This window comes from Homo sapiens, chromosome 11, assembly GCF_000001405.40.
Source record: "Homo sapiens chromosome 11, GRCh38.p14 Primary Assembly".
In the NCBI taxonomy this organism is placed as follows: domain Eukaryota; kingdom Metazoa; phylum Chordata; class Mammalia; order Primates; family Hominidae; genus Homo; species Homo sapiens.
Genome location: NC_000011.10, coordinates 65,596,656 through 65,615,413, shown reverse-complemented (window position 1 = coordinate 65,615,413; position 18,758 = coordinate 65,596,656). Strand labels below are relative to the sequence as shown.

The 18,758-nt window shown below is 57.0% G+C and overlaps 1 protein-coding gene across 2 annotated transcripts, besides 8 other annotated features; it reads left to right on the top strand.

The window, feature by feature from the left end:
- Window positions 14–103: an enhancer, noted in NCBI's record as "active region_4994". NCBI's record gives its function as "activates an Ori minimal core promoter by ATAC-STARR-seq in GM12878 lymphoblastoid cells {active_cell/tissue: GM12878}" and the evidence as "EXISTENCE:reporter gene assay evidence [ECO:0000049][PMID:35858748]".
- Window positions 96–982: an enhancer, noted in NCBI's record as "H3K27ac hESC enhancer chr11:65381903-65382789 (GRCh37/hg19 assembly coordinates)". NCBI's record gives its function as "activates a minimal SCP1, AML or CMV promoter by ChIP-STARR-seq in naive H9 embryonic stem cells {active_cell/tissue: H9 hESC(naive)}" and the evidence as "EXISTENCE:reporter gene assay evidence [ECO:0000049][PMID:30033119]".
- Window positions 96–1,153: a biological region, named in NCBI's record as "H3K27ac hESC enhancer GRCh37_chr11:65381903-65382789".
- Window positions 164–213: an enhancer, noted in NCBI's record as "active region_4993". NCBI's record gives its function as "activates an Ori minimal core promoter by ATAC-STARR-seq in GM12878 lymphoblastoid cells {active_cell/tissue: GM12878}" and the evidence as "EXISTENCE:reporter gene assay evidence [ECO:0000049][PMID:35858748]".
- Window positions 724–1,153: an enhancer, noted in NCBI's record as "active region_4992". NCBI's record gives its function as "activates an Ori minimal core promoter by ATAC-STARR-seq in GM12878 lymphoblastoid cells {active_cell/tissue: GM12878}" and the evidence as "EXISTENCE:reporter gene assay evidence [ECO:0000049][PMID:35858748]".
- MAP3K11 (mitogen-activated protein kinase kinase kinase 11) lies at window positions 1,193–17,657 on the top strand. Of its 2 annotated transcripts, none has more exons than NM_002419.4 (10): window positions 1,193–2,396; window positions 6,966–7,146; window positions 7,344–7,492; window positions 7,598–7,773; window positions 7,901–8,144; window positions 8,610–8,723; window positions 9,333–9,468; window positions 9,562–9,653; window positions 15,646–16,020; window positions 16,786–17,657. In NM_002419.4, the coding sequence occupies exons 1-10, from the start codon at window positions 1,658–1,660 to the stop codon at window positions 17,121–17,123; spliced, it is 2,544 nt and encodes an 847-aa protein (NP_002410.1). In that variant the 5' UTR covers window positions 1,193–1,657; the 3' UTR covers window positions 17,124–17,657. The 2 variants fall into 2 exon arrangements, with proteins under 2 accessions (NP_002410.1, XP_047282918.1); XM_047426962.1 differs by lacking the exon at window positions 16,786–17,657 and adding an exon at window positions 9,772–9,821 and having other exon boundaries at window positions 15,646–15,834.
- Window positions 1,404–1,583: a silencer, noted in NCBI's record as "silent region_3545". NCBI's record gives its function as "represses an Ori minimal core promoter by ATAC-STARR-seq in GM12878 lymphoblastoid cells {active_cell/tissue: GM12878}" and the evidence as "EXISTENCE:reporter gene assay evidence [ECO:0000049][PMID:35858748]".
- Window positions 1,871–2,758: an enhancer, noted in NCBI's record as "H3K27ac-H3K4me1 hESC enhancer chr11:65380127-65381014 (GRCh37/hg19 assembly coordinates)". NCBI's record gives its function as "activates a minimal SCP1, AML or CMV promoter by ChIP-STARR-seq in primed H9 embryonic stem cells {active_cell/tissue: H9 hESC(primed)}" and the evidence as "EXISTENCE:reporter gene assay evidence [ECO:0000049][PMID:30033119]".
- Window positions 8,175–8,274: a silencer, noted in NCBI's record as "silent region_3544". NCBI's record gives its function as "represses an Ori minimal core promoter by ATAC-STARR-seq in GM12878 lymphoblastoid cells {active_cell/tissue: GM12878}" and the evidence as "EXISTENCE:reporter gene assay evidence [ECO:0000049][PMID:35858748]".
- Window positions 17,658–18,758: the final 1,101 nt, after the last annotated feature.

The following is an 18,758-nucleotide window of genomic DNA, read 5'->3' as shown; positions in this document are numbered from 1 at the left end:
CCTTTAATGCTGGACCTCGTACGTCACGACCGATTTCGCTCCCAGCGGCGTCTACTTCCGGGTCAGAGCTCAGACCTAGGGTGTAGAGAACAACCTTCCGTAACAGGCAGGAATAGTCGAAATAGGATAGCGTCGTCTTTCTTAAAGTGACAGGCTCAAAGCAATTGGGGCAGCCCTATCCAGAAGTTGTGAGGGCGACTCAGCTATTCTGAATCCAATCCTGGGCAAAGTTCTGGACAAGTCTCAGGTTTCTGCCAATGGGGAAGGGATATGAAGAAGCGGATTGTTTCCCAGGTGAGGAGAAGAAGAGAGCCTTAGGCAATCCACTCCAAGAGCTTGAGGTGCAGCCAGTTCCGTCTGTCCTCCAGTCTTCCCCACCCCATCCAACTAGCTCTACGAGGCAGAGCTTTCTCGTCCTCATATCATATATGAAAAGAATGGCCGGGCGCGGTGGCTCACGCCTGTAATCCCAACACTTTGGGAGGCCGAGGCGGGAGGATCACGAGGTCAGGGGTTTGAGACCAGCATGGCCAACATGGTGAAACCCGTCTCCACTAAAAATACAAAAATTAGCCGGCCGTGGTGCCACGCGCCGGTAGTCCCAGCTACTCGGGAGGCTGAGGCAGGAGAATCTCTTGAACCCGGGAGGCGGAGGTTGCAGTGAGCTTAGACTGCGCCATTGCATACCAGCCTGGGCGACAGAGCAAGACTCCGTCTCAAAAGAAGAAAAAAGAAAGAAAATAATGAGGCTCAGAATCGATGGATCGCACAGTCCCACAACTTCGCAGCCAAGACCAGACTCGGGTTCACCCCCTTCCCAAGTGTGGTTCTGTAACCCCGTTTTGCTGCCGCCGATGCGGATGCAGAGGGCAGAGATGGCCCATCCTTAGCAGAGACCAACCTCCACCCTAGGCAGCAGAGCACGCAGCTGGGGGCTTTTCTTTCTAGATCTCAAAAGCCTGCTGTGATGGGGGATCTGGTTCTGCCCTTTCCCTCTCTGCCTCTCCTGGCCCGCCTACCCGGGAACTCCCCGCCTGGAGCCTCTGGGAGGGGAGCGGTGCAGGCCGCCCGCGTCATCTGATGCTGTTTCCTGCAGGAGGGAGAAGAGCGGAAAAAAGTGAAACTCCACCCTCCACCTCTGCCTCCCGCCCCCGGGGCCAAAGTACAAAGGGAGGAGGAAGAAGGGAGCGGGGTCGGAGCCGTCGGGGCCAAAGGAGACGGGGCCAGGAACAGGCAGTCTCGGCCCAACTGCGGACGCTCCCTCCACCCCCTGCGCAAAAAGACCCAACCGGAGTTGAGGCGCTGCCCCTGAAGGCCCCACCTTACACTTGGCGGGGGCCGGAGCCAGGCTCCCAGGACTGCTCCAGAACCGAGGGAAGCTCGGGTCCCTCCAAGCTAGCCATGGTGAGGCGCCGGAGGCCCCGGGGCCCCACCCCCCCGGCCTGACCACACTGCCCTGGGTGCCCTCCTCCAGAAGCCCGAGATGCGGGGGGCCGGGAGACAACACTCCTGGCTCCCCAGAGAGGCGTGGGTCTGGGGCTGAGGGCCAGGGCCCGGATGCCCAGGTTCCGGGACTAGGGCCTTGGCAGCCAGCGGGGGTGGGGACCACGGGCACCCAGAGAAGGTCCTCCACACATCCCAGCGCCGGCTCCCGGCCATGGAGCCCTTGAAGAGCCTCTTCCTCAAGAGCCCTCTAGGGTCATGGAATGGCAGTGGCAGCGGGGGTGGTGGGGGCGGTGGAGGAGGCCGGCCTGAGGGGTCTCCAAAGGCAGCGGGTTATGCCAACCCGGTGTGGACAGCCCTGTTCGACTACGAGCCCAGTGGGCAGGATGAGCTGGCCCTGAGGAAGGGTGACCGTGTGGAGGTGCTGTCCCGGGACGCAGCCATCTCAGGAGACGAGGGCTGGTGGGCGGGCCAGGTGGGTGGCCAGGTGGGCATCTTCCCGTCCAACTATGTGTCTCGGGGTGGCGGCCCGCCCCCCTGCGAGGTGGCCAGCTTCCAGGAGCTGCGGCTGGAGGAGGTGATCGGCATTGGAGGCTTTGGCAAGGTGTACAGGGGCAGCTGGCGAGGTGAGCTGGTGGCTGTGAAGGCAGCTCGCCAGGACCCCGATGAGGACATCAGTGTGACAGCCGAGAGCGTTCGCCAGGAGGCCCGGCTCTTCGCCATGCTGGCACACCCCAACATCATTGCCCTCAAGGCTGTGTGCCTGGAGGAGCCCAACCTGTGCCTGGTGATGGAGTATGCAGCCGGTGGGCCCCTCAGCCGAGCTCTGGCCGGGCGGCGCGTGCCTCCCCATGTGCTGGTCAACTGGGCTGTGCAGATTGCCCGTGGGATGCACTACCTGCACTGCGAGGCCCTGGTGCCCGTCATCCACCGTGATCTCAAGTCCAACAACAGTGAGTTTCTGGGGGCATGGTTGGGGGTGGCATGGCTCTGGTACACACCTGCTCCCAACCTTCCACTGAGCCTAGCTTAGGGTCTACTGCAGGTAGGAGCTCCCACCCTAGGGGGTCCCAGCTGACCAGGGGTGCCCATGGGCTCAAGCTAGCCCCCAAACAGAGCCCCAGGCACCCAGCAGAGTCTTCCTGCGCCAGCTTCAGAAGTCCTTGACCCCAGCCTGCAGCTGCGGTTTGGACAAGTTAAGAAATTGGTATCTCTCAGGTGGGCCATAAGCATCCTGCCCAGCCATGGCTCCCACCTCAAGGAAGTCCTCTGGAAGCTCGTGCTCCTCATCTTCTCCTCCCCTAAATTCATGTTCGTGGAGTTGGTGCTCTGTCCTCCCCTCCCGTCGTCATGGGCAGCTCCTCCAGAACAGATATCTCAGAGAGGGAAGCCCTCCTTGGCAGTCAAGGCTAAGGCCAGGGCTGGAATTCTGGCCTAGCCCTCCCTGGCTTCATGACCTCTAGCTGGTTACTCCAACTCGGAGCCTCAATTTCAGAATCTGTAAAAAGGGAGAGTGAAACAGCTCAACAGCTTGGGCAAGCCCGACCTGCGATCCCCAACCCACAGCGGGTCCTCAGCCATGGAGATGGACATTTGAGGGCTGGATCGCCAAGAGGGCCTAGCCTGAAATCAGTGCTTGGGATGGGAGTGCTGGGCTAAGGGAGACTCCATCTCCCATCATTTCAAGCCCCCGACACGCTGCCCATCATGGCCCAAGAGAAGTGAGTGACAGCTTCAGAGGGTTTCCTGGTGCACGCAGCATTTAGAGAGAGAAGGCATGGAAGCAGGACCCAGCACACAGCAGGGACCAGGAGCAGGGGCCTCCTAGAGCCCAGAGTGCAGGCTGGAGAGCAGCAGTAGGAAATGCAGGAGGGGCCAGGCTCAGTGTGGTCACTGGAAAAGCATGAGACATTCTTAGAGGGGGGTCAACGTGGATATTTTGAGCCTCCTGGCCTGGGCTGACCATGGACAAGGGGCTTGCAGGAAACAGAGTGCTGAGCCCCAGATATCCAAGTTCTTGCCAGGACTGGGGGAGCCAGGAGAGGCCTGCCAACCATCCTACCCACTCTTCTCATCCCTGGTAGGGTGCGGTTCCCACCTCTCAGCCTCAACCCTGGGCTCTAACTATCTAGGGACCCCCGCTACCTGCCCCAATCTGAGGGGGATTCCCCGAAGGCACAGGGGGAGGGGACTCCCATCTTCTGTTTTTCCTCCGTTTTCTTTCCAGAAAAAATGGAACAATAGCCCAGGCCCCTGCTCCCCACCCTCCCCACTGCTTCCTGCGTTTCCTGCTGCCCCTGAGCCGGCTTCCTGTCCCTGCTCCAGCCCCTGCTCCCTCCCTAGCCCAGCTGCCTGCAGGGGAGGAAAGAGCTTGGGGTGGAGGACTTGCGGGAGGAAGGAGCCTGGAACTGCTCCCCTACTCCCCTCTAGTTCCCCTGCTTCCCTCTCAGAGTCTGGGAGGTGGTGGTAAAGGGCAGGCAAGGTGCCCTCAGCCTCCCTGAGCCTGGCATTTAACCTCGGAGACCCCAGTCCTAGGCCCAAGTTGCTGTCTGCAGGATTGGGGTGGGGGGAGTCCCTGGGCTGGTGGGGGGCACAGGCAGGAAACAATGGCATGATTTTCCTGGACAATGGGGGCCTTGTGAGGAAGCCTGGCGGGGAGAGGAGGGGGAATTCTCCAGGCCCACGAGTCACAGGACTGACCAGCCAGCCCGGCCTGGGCCTGACCTCCCCCAGTTCTCCCCAAAAGGACTCCCCCTCCCAAGTGGGAGACCTGGCCCAGGCCTCCCAGAAAGGAGAAGTAGGGACCACGGGAGGAAAGCGGAAGAGGTGTGAGCTGCCCAGGCCACTCCCAAGCCCCACAGAGGCCAGCCCAGGGAGGGAGCTGGTGGCCAGGTCCCTATCAGAGGCCAGGGAGCCCTAAAGGGGCACTGAGAGCTTCCCCCAGTTTCGGGGTCTCTGGCCCATTCTCCTCTGGGTGACCCCTGACCTCCCATGCCTGGGATCTACATCAGACACCAGAACAGCAGTTCGAGTTGGGACAGTTGAAAGCACAGAGAGGAGCTTGGAGAGAAAGCAGAGGATGGGGCTTAGCAGCTGGCAGAGCCAGGAGCGGGGAGGTAGCAGAAAGACCACAAGTACAAAGAAGTCCTGAAACTTTGGGTGAGTTGTTGCCCCTCTCTGGGCCTCAGATTCCCCACCTGAAAAAGGTGGAGAGTGGCCACCCGGCCTGAGATACTGGAACAGCACTTTGCCAGTCTGGGGTGCCACAAGTGGCTAGAGACAGGCCAAGAAGCAGCAAGTGTTGGTCTTCAAAGGGGAAGGTGGGCCCTGGCACCAGGGGAGGTGCCCATTTCCACTCCACCCACTGCCCCAGCCTGCTGTGTTTCCCCTTTGGAATGAGCTTGTCGTCGGGGGCTTGCTAAATGCTCAGGTCCCCGCCTCCAGCAGCCAGACCAGAGGCTGTTTTGAAGTTGGCAGTAAGGAGTGACAGAGGAGGGAGAGGAGGGCGGAGATACGATAAGTGCTTTAGGACAACTGGCCTTTAGGATGCTTCTGCCAGGTGGCAGCCCCCATGCAAAAACTTTAAAAGTGTGGTCTTGTTTCATGCTCGTGACAGCCATCTGAGGAGGGTTTTGTTGTCATCCTCAGCTTGATGAAGTGTTCAGGACTCAGCTCCAAGGTCTGGCTCAGAGGAGTGGGTAGATTTTGAGACCATTCTCTGGATTAGGAAAAATTGCAGGAAAATCTACTGGGCATGCCGGGATAGTAAAGGTGGTCATGGAGGGCACCTGGACATCAGGTAGAGCTGCTGAACCAATTTGTCTGGCCTGGAGTTGCAAATGTGGAAGATGCCAGTGGGGAGAGGGAGCTGGTACCTGGAAGAGGCTGAGTCAGCCAGGGGCAGTGGGCAGAGGTTGAGGAGAGGTCATGCTCTGAGAAGCACCAGCGCCGAAATGGCTGAAGGTGGAGGACACAGAAACAGAGCCAAGCAGCCAGGGGCTGTGGGGGCTGAGGACGGTGGGGCAGCGGGGACAGCTGGCAGCAGTGCCAGATGCCTCCTCAAGGCCCAGGTGGCCTGGCCAGCAGCAGGATCAGGGCTTGTTGCTTTAAGCCCTGAAAAATGAGCACCCTGGTTCTGCCACCTCCTCTGGGAAGTCTTCCCTGACTCACCAGGCTGTATTAGGTGCCCTTCCCATCTGCCCCACCCCCTGTGCCCTATGCTGCCCCCATGACAGCCGTGTCACACAGGGCAGGAGAGCTGAGAGGTGTGCCCTGACATGGGTCCAGAAACATGGTTGACTTGATATTGCTTCTCTTCCACAGTGCAGTTGGCTGTAACCTGAAAAGTAGAGGGGCCCTTCAGACCCTTCATGACTCTATGACTTTGTCCTCTTTCTATTCCTCGAAAACTTCTCTCATTTGAGCCATTCCTGTCCTGGTGAGAGATATGCAAGTTGCTGCTTCTCCTCTTTGTACCAAGTACGGTGGCCCCATTTGGGTTAAAGCCATGAGCCCCTGCCAAGTCTGACCATCCACGCCTACATTTACCCCAAGCTCCTCCTTTGTGGCCAAGAACCATCACTTTCTTGGACCCCACCCTTTCTCTTCCCTTCCAGCTGCATTGGTAGGTATCTTTTGGAGTCTTTGCTTTGGGAGTGGCTGCACTTGCCACAGTGTGATGTGGGCACTAGGGGCCTGTGGTACCTGCTGGGCTTCTTTTCTCACCAAGAGCTTCCCTCTTGCTCCCCACTCTAAGGGGGGTTCTGATTCACGCTCCTGCCTCAACAAAATGACAGGAGACTCACAGATCTCTCTTGAAATCAAAGCCATAAATGTCCAGAGCTGCCACCTTGCCAGTTTTGCTTCAGTGTAATATTAGGGAAAAGCTAGAACACTGGTTTCAGAGCCACACAGACCAGGTTGTAATCTCTGCTGTATTTGTTGTATGACCTCTGCCAAGTCATTTCCCTGCTTGGTTTCCTCATCTGTGAAACATGAAAAATATTATTTAGCTCATAAATGGTTTTGAGTGCTGGGGTTGAGTGTGAAATGTTTGGCCTCGGCCAGGTGCAGTGGCCTGTAATCCCAGCACTTTGGGAGGCCGAGGCGGGCAGATCACCTGAGGTTGGGAGTTCGAGACCAGCCTGACCAACATGGAGAAACCCTGTCTCTACTAAAAATGCAAAATTAGTCGGGCGTGGTGGCACATGCCCATAATCCCACTACTCGGGAGGCTGGGGCAGGACAATCGCTTGAACCCAGGAGGTGGAGGTTGCAGTGAGCCAAGATCACGCCATTGCACTCCAGCCTGGGCAACAAGAGCAAAACTCTATCTTAAGAAAAAAAAAAAAGGAAAAGAAAAGAAATGTCTGACCTCAAGTAGGTCCTCAAGATCTAGACCAAGTCACCTCTGTGCCCCCAGGACCCAGCCAGGATGTCCGTCAGATGAGTTTGCTCCCAGCTCTTACCCTGTCCCCACCACCTGATCCTGGAGCATCCACAATCTGGCCCCTCTTCTCTAGTTTTGCTGCTGCAGCCCATTGAGAGTGACGACATGGAGCACAAGACCCTGAAGATCACCGACTTTGGCCTGGCCCGAGAGTGGCACAAAACCACACAAATGAGTGCCGCGGGCACCTACGCCTGGATGGCTCCTGAGGTTATCAAGGCCTCCACCTTCTCTAAGGGCAGTGACGTCTGGAGGTGCGGCCCTTGGTGGGGCTGGACGGGCTGCTACGGGGCTGCAGAGGGCAGAGGTGGCTGCCTAAATCTAGGGCTGGGCCAAGTCCAGGGACAGGGACCCAAACCACTTGGCTCCTAGTTGCTTTTGGGTGAAGTGGCAGTAAGGGGGTGGGGGTTGGGAGAGAAAAGGGAACACAGACCTGTTGTCTCGCCCACAGTTTTGGGGTGCTGCTGTGGGAACTGCTGACCGGGGAGGTGCCATACCGTGGCATTGACTGCCTTGCTGTGGCCTATGGCGTAGCTGTTAACAAGCTCACACTGCCCATCCCATCCACCTGCCCCGAGCCCTTCGCACAGCTTATGGCCGGTAAGAGGACGGGGAGGGCAGGTGAGGTACAGAGCTCCCTGGCCCAGGACACATCCACCCACGGACCCCTTCTTATTCTGTCCCCGCTGCACGCCGTGCCCCTAGACTGCTGGGCGCAGGACCCCCACCGCAGGCCCGACTTCGCCTCCATCCTGCAGCAGTTGGAGGCGCTGGAGGCACAGGTCCTACGGGAAATGCCGCGGGACTCCTTCCATTCCATGCAGGAAGGCTGGAAGCGCGAGATCCAGGGTCTCTTCGACGAGCTGCGAGCCAAGGAAAAGGTGCGAGGAATCAAGGGACCCAGCGTTGGAACGAGTGTCTCCCCGATCTCCCTGGGGCAGAGTCGGGGCGGGCGCTGCCGGGATTGGTGCCAGGCTGACCTCTCCACCATCGCTGTCTCGGGCGCAGGAACTACTGAGCCGCGAGGAGGAGCTGACGCGAGCGGCGCGCGAGCAGCGGTCACAGGCGGAGCAGCTGCGGCGGCGCGAGCACCTGCTGGCCCAGTGGGAGCTAGAGGTGTTCGAGCGCGAGCTGACGCTGCTGCTGCAGCAGGTGGACCGCGAGCGACCGCACGTGCGCCGCCGCCGCGGGACATTCAAGCGCAGCAAGCTCCGGGCGCGCGACGGCGGCGAGCGTATCAGCATGCCACTCGGTGAGGGCCGGGCCCCGGGGCGTCCCCCGCCATTGGCTGCGGGGGTGGGGGTGGAGCCAGGCCTGTGTGCTCACCGCGCTGGGATTGGTTTAGGGTGTTGTGGGTGGGCCCGTGAGATGAAGGCTGGGAGGGGTGGAGCCAGGAGTGTTTTTTTTCTGTCTGTGGGCGGGTTCTGGCGGAAGTATTTGCATGTCGGTCTGGGAGTGGGAAGGGGTGGGGTTCACGAAAGTTCTGGGAAGGTCTAGTGGGCGGGGCCGGCCGGCGCCAGGGCATCTCCGACTCAGACGAGTAGCTTTCCTTATCCAGACCCAGGGGCTCAAGAAAGCAGTGAGGCTGGTCACAGTCTCACAGCCATCGTGCCGCTCCCTATGTGGCCTGGGAGCTGGCCTTGGGCCCCTGCAGGTTGGGGTCCTGGCTCTACTTCATCACAAACCTGAACCCTGCTCCCCCCAACCCAAATCCCAGACTTCAAGCACCGCATCACCGTGCAGGCCTCACCCGGCCTTGACCGGAGGAGAAACGTCTTCGAGGTCGGGCCTGGGGATTCGCCCACCTTTCCCCGGTTCCGAGCCATCCAGTGTAAGAAACTTCACCTCTCATGCCCCTCTCCGCCCCCCAGCTCCTTATTCTCTGTCAGACCTTATTCTTGGAGGCGGAGCCCACTCACTATCCCCTCTTCCTCCCCGCCCCCAGGCTCCCTGCCTTAGGTCTAGCCTGTTACCTCTGAACTCCCCAAGCAGCATTAATTTTACTTATTTTTTTTTAGTCAAATAATTGTATGACACTATGTACTACTAATTTTCTAAATGCTTTGCTAATATTAATTTCTTGCAATAATTCTATTTGGTAGTTATTTTTGTTGTTAATTTAAGTTTTATGGATGAGAAAAGTGAAAAAAGTAACTTGTTACACAGTTAATAAGTGGAAGAGCCAGAATCAAACTCAGGCAGTTGGTGTCAGTGTCTGTACTAATTACTAAGCAGCAAACTTCAGCCCAAGGGCTAGATGAGATGCCCCACCCCACTGTTGGCCCCAAGACCCAAACCCATCTATCTTGCCCAAAGCTCACCCTGGGAATGGTACAGGGCCCAGCCTGCTCCCCATACTCTAAAGTTTATCTCTGAAGCCTGACTGTGATGATGGAGGGAGAATAAAGATTATCTCCGATTTCATCGGTTTCCCCTGCAGTGGAGCCTGCAGAGCCAGGCCAGGCATGGGGCCGCCAGTCCCCCCGACGTCTGGAGGACTCAAGCAATGGAGAGCGGCGAGCATGCTGGGCTTGGGGTCCCAGTTCCCCCAAGCCTGGGGAAGCCCAGAATGGGAGGTGAGTACCTGAGTGCCCCCCAGACCCAGCATCATTTGCTTTCCCCAAGTCCTGAAATTCCTAAAGCACCCCTCCTTGCCCTCCCATCACCAGGAGAAGGTCCCGCATGGACGAAGCCACATGGTACCTGGATTCAGATGACTCATCCCCCTTAGGATCTCCTTCCACACCCCCAGCACTCAATGGTGAGTGGCCTTCCTCCCCCGGCAGGATCTGGCTGAGCTCCTTCCGTGGGCACCTTGGGGAGGCCACAATAGGCTAGTAGGCAAAGCAGGAGTCCTGCCCTGGTTGCTCTCATTCTAGAGACTAGGAAACCAAGGCTGAGACAAGACAGAGCCGATCCTGGAACCCAGGTCTGACCTACAGGCCCACGATCAAGCGGCATACAGCCCAGGCCTCGGCTCGGGGCCCAGAGTCTCATCCCCTTGCTCAGACCTGGCCTGCAAGAAGCCTCTTCCCTGGCCCCATGGCAGCCCCTGTGCCTTTAGCAGGCTCCAGGGAGAAAAGAAAGACAGGAAGCCCACCTGGCATTTGGTACCCAAGGGAAGCTGGACCCAGATGGGGGAAGGAATCAGCCTGTGTGGGGTGGAGCCAAACAAGTGTCAGCCACACTGTGCTTCTCAGAGCCCCTTCTGGGAGCCTGTAGGTGAAGAAGAGAATGAGAAGGCCGAGCAGGCAGGATCCAGGACCCATTCTCACCACATCCAGGATAGCTCGGGGCCTTTCTGTTCTCCATGACGGTAACTGCCCTACTGTGCCAGGCATTCCCTCCAAGCATTGATGAAGAGGGGCTACTATTACCCCATTTTGCAGATAAGGAAACTGAGGCTCTGAGAGGTGAAGTAACCTACCTCAAACCCCCAGCTGAGGATTTGAACCCAGAGAGGCTTCAGCTCCAATGCTCTCGTAGTGAGCTCAGAAGCTTTCACTTGAAGAAAGGGCTTCTCACGTATAGACTGCTTAGGAAGCCAGAGGGTCAGGCAGAAGGCAGGGCTCCAGCATTGCAGGGAGGAGGGCTCACTCAGCTCAACACTGCCCAGCTCTGAGTGAGGCCAGAGAGTTATGGCCTCCCTTGCCTGTGGGTCCCTGTGCCAACCTAGGGACCATCCTCAGAGCCCCCACACCTGCTGCTCACAGCCAGAATGTAGGACCCGCTTAGCTGCTCTCAGAAGAGTCCTGTTCAGCAAGCCGTTTAAACTCACTCCTCCCATCCCACCCAGCCCATCGCCTCTTCCATTCCCTGAGCTACACTTGATAGTTGTAACAACAGCTAACCTTTGTTGGTTCTCTTCTATGTGCCAAGCAGTTCTGTGAGGGGAGTAGTAGTATTGGCCTGCATTTTACAACAGAGAAAACTGAGGCACAGAGAGATTAAGTGGTTTGATGTAAGGCAACCAGTAGAGCAGGGATTTGATCTGCTCTTGCCTGTCTGACCACAGAGGCAGAGCCCTGGGCCTCCATCTGCCCCGCCATTTGCTACTCCAGCAGCTGCACTGCCCCCAGCATCTGTCCTGCAGGGACTGAACTGAGAGCTGGAAGGCCAAGGAGGCTTCTTGAATTCACTTGCTCTAAATTGTACCAGGCCAGATGGGCCAAAGGAGAACTTGAGAGCCTGTCAACCCAGGTGTGTAGGCTGAAGCAGGTCCTGACTGTTCCACAGAACTCTCTGGCCCTCAGCTCCCAGAAGCAGGGGCACAAGGGGCCTGGGCCCCATCGTTCTCAAGCTTGCCCCATGTTTTTTTATCCAAAGAATTTGTTAATTATTTATGAAGAGAAACTACTTATTAGCCCATATATTCATGAATAGTTCAGATCAGTGACAAACTTCTAAGTAATTCAACCCAAAGAAATTCTTCATATTCCAAAATCACTTTGCATTCTGAGAGATAGCAGCCTTCCTCATCTCCTCGAAGTATTTCATGGCATCATAACTTCTGTAGACATCTGTGCCCATAGAAATCTGAAATGCCTTCTTTCTTGGTCCAGCCCCTGCAAACTGAGAGAGCCGCAGCCCCCAGGGATACAGTGAATGCTCCCACAATATGAAATTGCAGATGTGTGGCCAGAAGGCCACATGTCTGAGGTTTCATGAAAGCACTGGAAACCATGGTAGTTACTGTTCTTGATAAGTATGTCGGCCTCAACACCAGTGCCCTTCCTGGCTGATGAAGAAATGGATTGCCACTTGCCCTGAAAGGATGTCAGCTGCCCAGCTCAGTGGCTGGCTGAGCATCTGGTTCCCCTAGCCCAATCCCACACTCCACGCATCATCTGGGTCCATGAAAGTACATGACATTGACCTCACAGCCACCCCCCGAAACCCAGCTAAGAATCAAATAATGGGGCTTCACAGAGGTCCCAGACCCTGTGAGATGGTCCCCGGCATAAGCCATACCACTGGAGAGTCACACACACCCTCACCCTGTCCCCAGTGGGCTGTTCTGGTCCCTGGAGAGCTGGCTGCAAGGAGTGGCACATTGGCAGGGTGCACTCAGCTACGCTGATAGCAACTGCCCTGTGAAGCTTGTTGCCTTAGAGCCAATAACTACGTGGCTGTGTCCTCCCTGTGAGACCTCACGGAAGCAGTTTCGCCTCTATCTATCTATCTTTGGGTCAAGAATAGTCACGCAGCTTTCTCCTAAACAACAGAGTTGCTAACTCTTGCTGCCAGGAAGCTTAGAGGCAGATTCAAATCCTAGCTGGATTATGTTGACCAAGTCCCTTACCCTTCAGAACCTCAGTTTCTCAGGCCATTGACTGCAGGAACTTCTGTTCACTCTCATTTTGTCTGCTGGACCCTATCTTCTCTTCCCTTTGTCTCATTTCTGTCTTTTATTTTTTTAAAGATAGAGTCTCATTCTGTTACCCAGGCTGGACTGCAATGGCATGATCATGGCTCACTGCAAACTCTGCCTCCCAGGCTCAAGTGATCCTCCCACCTCAGCTTCCTGAGTAGCAGGGACTACAGGTGCATGCCATGCTTGGCTAATTTTTATATTTTTTGTAGAGATGGGGTTTTGCCATGTTGCCCAGGCTGGGCTGCGCTTAAGTAGTCCACCCACCCCAGCCTCCCAAAGTGCTGGCATTACAGGTGTGAGCCACCACACCCAGCTTGCTCTTGCTATTTTCTTTTTTTTTTTTTAGAAGGAGTCTTGTTCTGTCACCCAGGCTGGAGTGCAGTGGTGCGACCTCAGCTCACTTCAGCCTCCACCTCCCACGTTCAAGCAATTCTCCCTCAGCCTCCCCAGTAGCTGGGATTACAGGCATGTGCCACCATGCCCAGCTAATTTTTTTTTTTTTGAGATGAAGTGTCATTCTGTTGCCCAGGCTGGAGGGCAGTGGTGCAATCTCGGCTCACTACAACCTCCACCTCCCAGGTTCAAGTGATTCTCCTGCCTCAGCCTCCCAAGTAGCAGGGATTACAGGCATGTGCCACAATGCCCGGCTAATGTTTGTATTTGTAGTAGAGATGAGGTTTCACCATGTTGACCAGGCTGGTCCCGAACTCCTGACCTCAAGTGAGCCACCTGCTTCAGCTTCCCAAAGTGCTGGGATTACAAGCGTGAACCACCATGCCCGGCCTAATTTTTGTATTTAGTAGAGACAGGGTTTGACCATGTTGGCCAGGCTAGTCATGCACTCCTGACCTCAAGTGATCTGCCCTACTTGGCCTCCCAAAGTGCTGGGATTATAGGCTTGAGCCACCACTCCCAGCCTCTCTTGCTTTTTTTTTTTTTTTTTTTGAGATGGAGTCTCACTCTGTCACCCAGGCTGGAGCGCAGTGGCGGGATCTCGGCTCACTGTAACCTCCGCCTCCTGGGTTCAAGCGATTCTCCTGCCTCAGCCTCCCAAGTAGCTGAGACTACAGGTGCGTGCCACCATGCCCTGCTAATTTTTGTATTTTTTAGTAGAGACAGGGTTTCACCATGTTGGCCAGGATGGTCTCGATTTCTTGACCTCGTGATCCGCCCACCTTGGCCTCCCAAAGTGCTGGGATTACAGGTGTGAGCCACCGCACCCGGCCAACTCTTTCTTTTTTTTAAACATGATTTCCCCTCTTCTGTTTAAACTCACTGTAAATGATCAGTTCTTCACCTGCGAAGTGGGGGTGATATGATAACCTCGTGGTTGGTGCAAGGATTATAAAAATGGATTCTTCATCAAACAAGAATTTGCTTTTTTTTTTTTTTGAGACGGAGTCTCGCTCTGTTGCCCAGGCTGGAGTGCAGTGGTGTGATTTTGGCTCACTGCAAGCTCCGCCTCCTGGGTTCATGCCATTCTCCTGCCTCAGCCTCTTGAGTATCTGGGACTACAGGCGCCCACCACCACGCCTGGCTAATTTTTTGTGTTTTTAGTAGAGACAGGGTTTCACCGTGTTAGCCAGGATGGTCTCGATCTCCTGACCTCGTGATCATCCCACCTGGGCCTCCCAAAGTGCTGGGATTGCAGATGTGAGCCACCGCGCCTGGCCCAGGGATTTGCATTTTAAGAGCCAGGCATCAACATGTTAAACACTGCCCTGACCTCATATGATGAAGCAGGCAGACTCATAAACAAGTCCAGTAGCACCTCTATGAGGCATAACGTGAGCAATAACTGTGTAGGTTCAGGGAGATTCTGGGAGGGCTTCACAGAGGAAGTGACATCCCAGTTGGTCTTGGATGGTGCATAAGAGGTCACTGAAAGCCAAGGTGGGAAAGGTCAGCCACCCAGAGTGAATAGTGTGTGCGCAGGCATGCAGCTCACCATACCCAAGGAAAAGGCAACCTGGCTGAACTCCGAGAAGAGTTGAGAGCCGAGGAGTCTCAGGACTGGGGCTGCGGACAGGGGCCAAGGCACATGGGTCAGTAGATGTTGATTGAATGAATGAGTGAATGAAGCTGGAAGTGATGGGTAGTTTTTAAGCAGAGACCTGTCTTTAACAGGTTTGCATTTTAGAAGGATTCCCTTGTCCCTTCAGTGGCAGTGGCCGGGGTGGGAGTTGGGTGAGGTAAGAGGCAGAGAGTCTGAGTAAGGGTTGGGGCTGACAGAAGGGACTGTGAGCTAAGTCCTGGTTCATAGTAGAAGCTCATTTTTCCCAGCCTTGTATTTCTCCCTCCCGACATCCAACCTGCTGCTGCACTCCAGGCAGGAGGGGAAAGGCAGAGGGACAAGGCCAGGGAGGGCTTCAGAGGACCAGCCAAGGAGGCCAGACTTTCTCCTAGTGACAGTGGAGAGCCACAGCAGTTTCTAGAGCCAAGGAGGGATCTGACAAAATCAGGGCTTGTGAGAGCCCATCCTAGAGTCCCTTGTCCTTAATGAGGGGTTCCCCATCCCTGCCCAAGTGGTCTAGAATGGAGTCAGGCCAACCCTAGACTGGAAGGTAGGACACTAGTGTCTTGAAATCTAGGGCAGAGTCTGGCTGGGAAATGGTGGAGAGCAAAGGTTCTACTGCCCTTGCCTGGGGTGAGGCCGGCTCCACCTTTCACTGGCTGTACAGCTCCGCACAAGCCCTCAACCTCTCTGAGCCTGGAACCCCTGGGGCATGAGAATCAGACAACATAATGCCCCTATGCCATTCAGCTCAGGCCTGGCACAAATACATACTCTGTAAATTAGCTGTGACCTTGGGCAAGGTACTGACCCCTCTGAACCTCATTTTCCTCCTTTCTAGAATAGAGACAGGGATTTATGCCCTCAGGGCTGCCATGTACCTTAGAGTTGACTGTGTGCATCTTATAAGCTACAGCTGGAGCGGGGGTGGGTGGGCAGAAGGGGCAGGGCTGCCAAGCCAGGAAGCTGGTGGGCACAGAGCACAGGGCGCCGGTCCCAGTCAGTGGGACCTGCCATGCCCCTGGGCCTGGAGGTTGCCCCTGGCAGGCCACAGAGGCCCACTGTGACCTGGCCCCAGCCTGCCTCCACTGGGACTGCCCATCCATCTTTCGGGTCTGGGGTCGCTGGCTGCCATTGGGCTTTGCTGCCGCTTCCTCCACCTGCACTGCCCTCCCCTCCCAGTGCCCATCTTGTGAAAGGCCAGAATGTGGGTATGTGATGGGGAGGCCATGGGACCTGTGGGACCAGGGAAGATGCTAGTAGAGGGCAGAACTCAGTCCTTGTTCCAAGACCACGGAGAGGTCTTGGGCCCTCACCCGGAATATGCACCAGCCACACCCTCACCTGTGCCGCCTCTGCCCGCAGGTAACCCCCCGCGGCCTAGCCTGGAGCCCGAGGAGCCCAAGAGGCCTGTCCCCGCAGAGCGCGGTAGCAGCTCTGGGACGCCCAAGCTGATCCAGCGGGCGCTGCTGCGCGGCACCGCCCTGCTCGCCTCGCTGGGCCTTGGCCGCGACCTGCAGCCGCCGGGAGGCCCAGGACGCGAGCGCGGGGAGTCCCCGACAACACCCCCCACGCCAACGCCCGCGCCCTGCCCGACCGAGCCGCCCCCTTCCCCGCTCATCTGCTTCTCGCTCAAGACGCCCGACTCCCCGCCCACTCCTGCACCCCTGTTGCTGGACCTGGGTATCCCTGTGGGCCAGCGGTCAGCCAAGAGCCCCCGACGTGAGGAGGAGCCCCGCGGTGAGTGGCCTGAAGCCGGCCTGCTTCACATATGGGAGACGGGGGTTCCCAGGGAGGGAGGAGTGGCTGGTGGGGACATGCAAGGAGGCAAGGCCGAGACCACAGTCATCAGCTGGACCCTGAACCAGGCATTCGGGGTACTGAAGACGCATGTAGGGAGCAGAGTTCTAAGTTCAGCTATCAGGTGGTCCAGGCAGGTGGGGGCGATGCCTGCTGTGAAATAAAAGAAGTAATCGGGCCAGGCAGTGGTGCACGCCTGTGATCCCAGCACTCTGGGAGGATCACGTGAGCCTTGAAAGGTTGAGGCTGCAGTGAGCGGTGATCATGACACTGGACTCCAGCCTGGGCGACACAGCATACATGTAATCATAATCGTAGCAAACTCCTGGCTCCTTACTTGTGCCAAGTACTGTTTGCAAGGCTTTCCCGAGATGGTCTCATTTAGTCATAACAACCAGAGAACTAAGCGCTCCTGGATGCCCATTTTTAGATGAGGAAATTTAAGGCACAGAGATTAAGGGACCCACAGCTCCCACAGCTAGTAAGTGGCAGGGCCGGGATCCACATCCAGGCCAGCCTGCTGCAGAGGCCTCACTCCTAACTATTACAAAAAACAGAGGCACCACGGAGCAGGAAGGGCGGTGGAAGTTGAGTCAAGTAGGTCACTGTGCACATGGGGAAACTGAGGCCCAGAGCAGGACAGTGTCTTGGGGACCTCAGCAGTTGGGGGTTGCTTGACCCTGTGCCCCTCCTATATCCTCACAGGAGGCACTGTCTCACCCCCACCGGGGACATCACGCTCTGCTCCTGGCACCCCAGGCACCCCACGTTCACCACCCCTGGGCCTCATCAGCCGACCTCGGCCCTCGCCCCTTCGCAGCCGCATTGATCCCTGGAGCTTTGTGTCAGCTGGGCCACGGCCTTCTCCCCTGCCATCACCACAGCCTGCACCCCGCCGAGCACCCTGGACCTTGTTCCCGGACTCAGACCCCTTCTGGGACTCCCCACCTGCCAACCCCTTCCAGGGGGGCCCCCAGGACTGCAGGGCACAGACCAAAGACATGGGTGCCCAGGCCCCGTGGGTGCCGGAAGCGGGGCCTTGAGTGGGCCAGGCCACTCCCCCGAGCTCCAGCTGCCTTAGGAGGAGTCACAGCATACACTGGAACAGGAGCTGGGTCAGCCTCTGCAGCTGCCTCAGTTTCCCCAGGGACCCCACCCCCCTTTGGGGGTCAGGAACACTACACTGCACAGGAAGCCTTCACACTGGAAGGGGGACCTGCGCCCCCACATCTGAAACCTGTAGGTCCCCCCAGCTCACCTGCCCTACTGGGGCCCAACACTGTACCCAGCTGGTTGGGAGGACCAGAGCCTGTCTCAGGGAATTGCCTGCTGGGGTGATGCAGGGAGGAGGGGAGGTGCAGGGAAGAGGGGCCGGCCTCAGCTGTCACCAGCACTTTTGACCAAGTCCTGCTACTGCGGCCCCTGCCCTAGGGCTTAGAGCATGGACCTCCTGCCCTGGGGGTCATCTGGGGCCAGGGCTCTCTGGATGCCTTCCTGCTGCCCCAGCCAGGGTTGGAGTCTTAGCCTCGGGATCCAGTGAAGCCAGAAGCCAAATAAACTCAAAAGCTGTCTCCCCACATGTAGCCTGTCACCTTTCTTGGAGGTAACCAGGTGACCCAACCTATCATACAACCCTGGTGTCCTGATGCCCCAACAATAGGCAGTTGGATGCCTTGTACTGCATGCCTCTCCTGGGACCAAATCCACCAGCCTTGGTCAGTCATTCAAGGCTCTTCTCGGCCAGGTGCAGTGGCTCACTCCTGTCATCACAGCAGTTTGGGAGGCCGAGGCCGGCGGATCACATGAGGTCAGGAGTTCAACCTGGCCACATGGTGAAACCCCATCTCTACTAAAAATACAAAAATTAGCCAGGTGTGGTGGTGCATGCCTGTAGTCCCAGCTACTCTGGAGGCTGAGGCAGGAGAATTGCTTGAACCTGGAAGGTGGAGGTTGCAGTGAGCCAAAATCACGCCACTGCACTCCAGCCTGGGCAACAGAGCAAGACTCCGTCTCAAAAAAAAAAAAAACAAAAAACCATAGGCCGGGCATGGTGGCTCACGCCTGTAATCCCAGCACTTTGGGAGGCCGAGACGGACAGATCACAAGGTCAGGATTTTGAGACCAGCCTGGCCAATATGGTGAAACCCCGTCTCTACTGAAAAAAATATATATATATACAAAAATTAACCAGGCGTGGTGGCAGGTGCCTGTAGCCCCAGCTACTTGGGAGGCTGAGGCAGGAGAATAGCTTGAACCCGGGCGGCGAAGGTTGAGTGAGCCGAGATTGCACCACTGCACTCCAGCCTGGGCGACAGAGCGAGACTCCATCTCAAAAAAAAGAGTAGTAAGTTCCACCCACCTCCCAGTATGGTGACTTGCCATGGCATCTGGCACCCCTGACAGTTCTCTTCACACTGCCATGGGGGCTCTGGCACTCCCACACCATACCCTAGGGCAGGGTCCCTCCCTCGGCCTCTGTCCATTCTCTTCACACTGCCATGGGGGCTCTGGCACTCCCACACCATACCCTAGGGCTGGGTCCCTTCCTTGGCCTCTGTCCTCAGCCCCTCTGACGTTAGAGGAGTTGGAACCCAGGCTCCCCCTTCCCCTCTCCCAGGTGCCCCATGGCAGCCCAGACTCTGTGTCTGCAGTTCAGGGGCAGGGAGTCAGGAGGGCAG

Excerpts from the sequence above, each read along its gene's own strand:
- MAP3K11 (NM_002419.4), top strand. The coding sequence starts at position 1,658 with ATGGAGCCCTTGAAGAGCCTCTTCCTCAAGAGCCCTCTAGGGTCATGG. Across the intron at positions 7,147-7,343 it reads AAGGGCAGTGACGTCTGGAG|TTTTGGGGTGCTGCTGTGGG; the intron begins GTGCGGCCCTTG and ends TCTCGCCCACAG. Across the intron at positions 7,774-7,900 it reads AGCTGCGAGCCAAGGAAAAG|GAACTACTGAGCCGCGAGGA; the intron begins GTGCGAGGAATC and ends TCTCGGGCGCAG.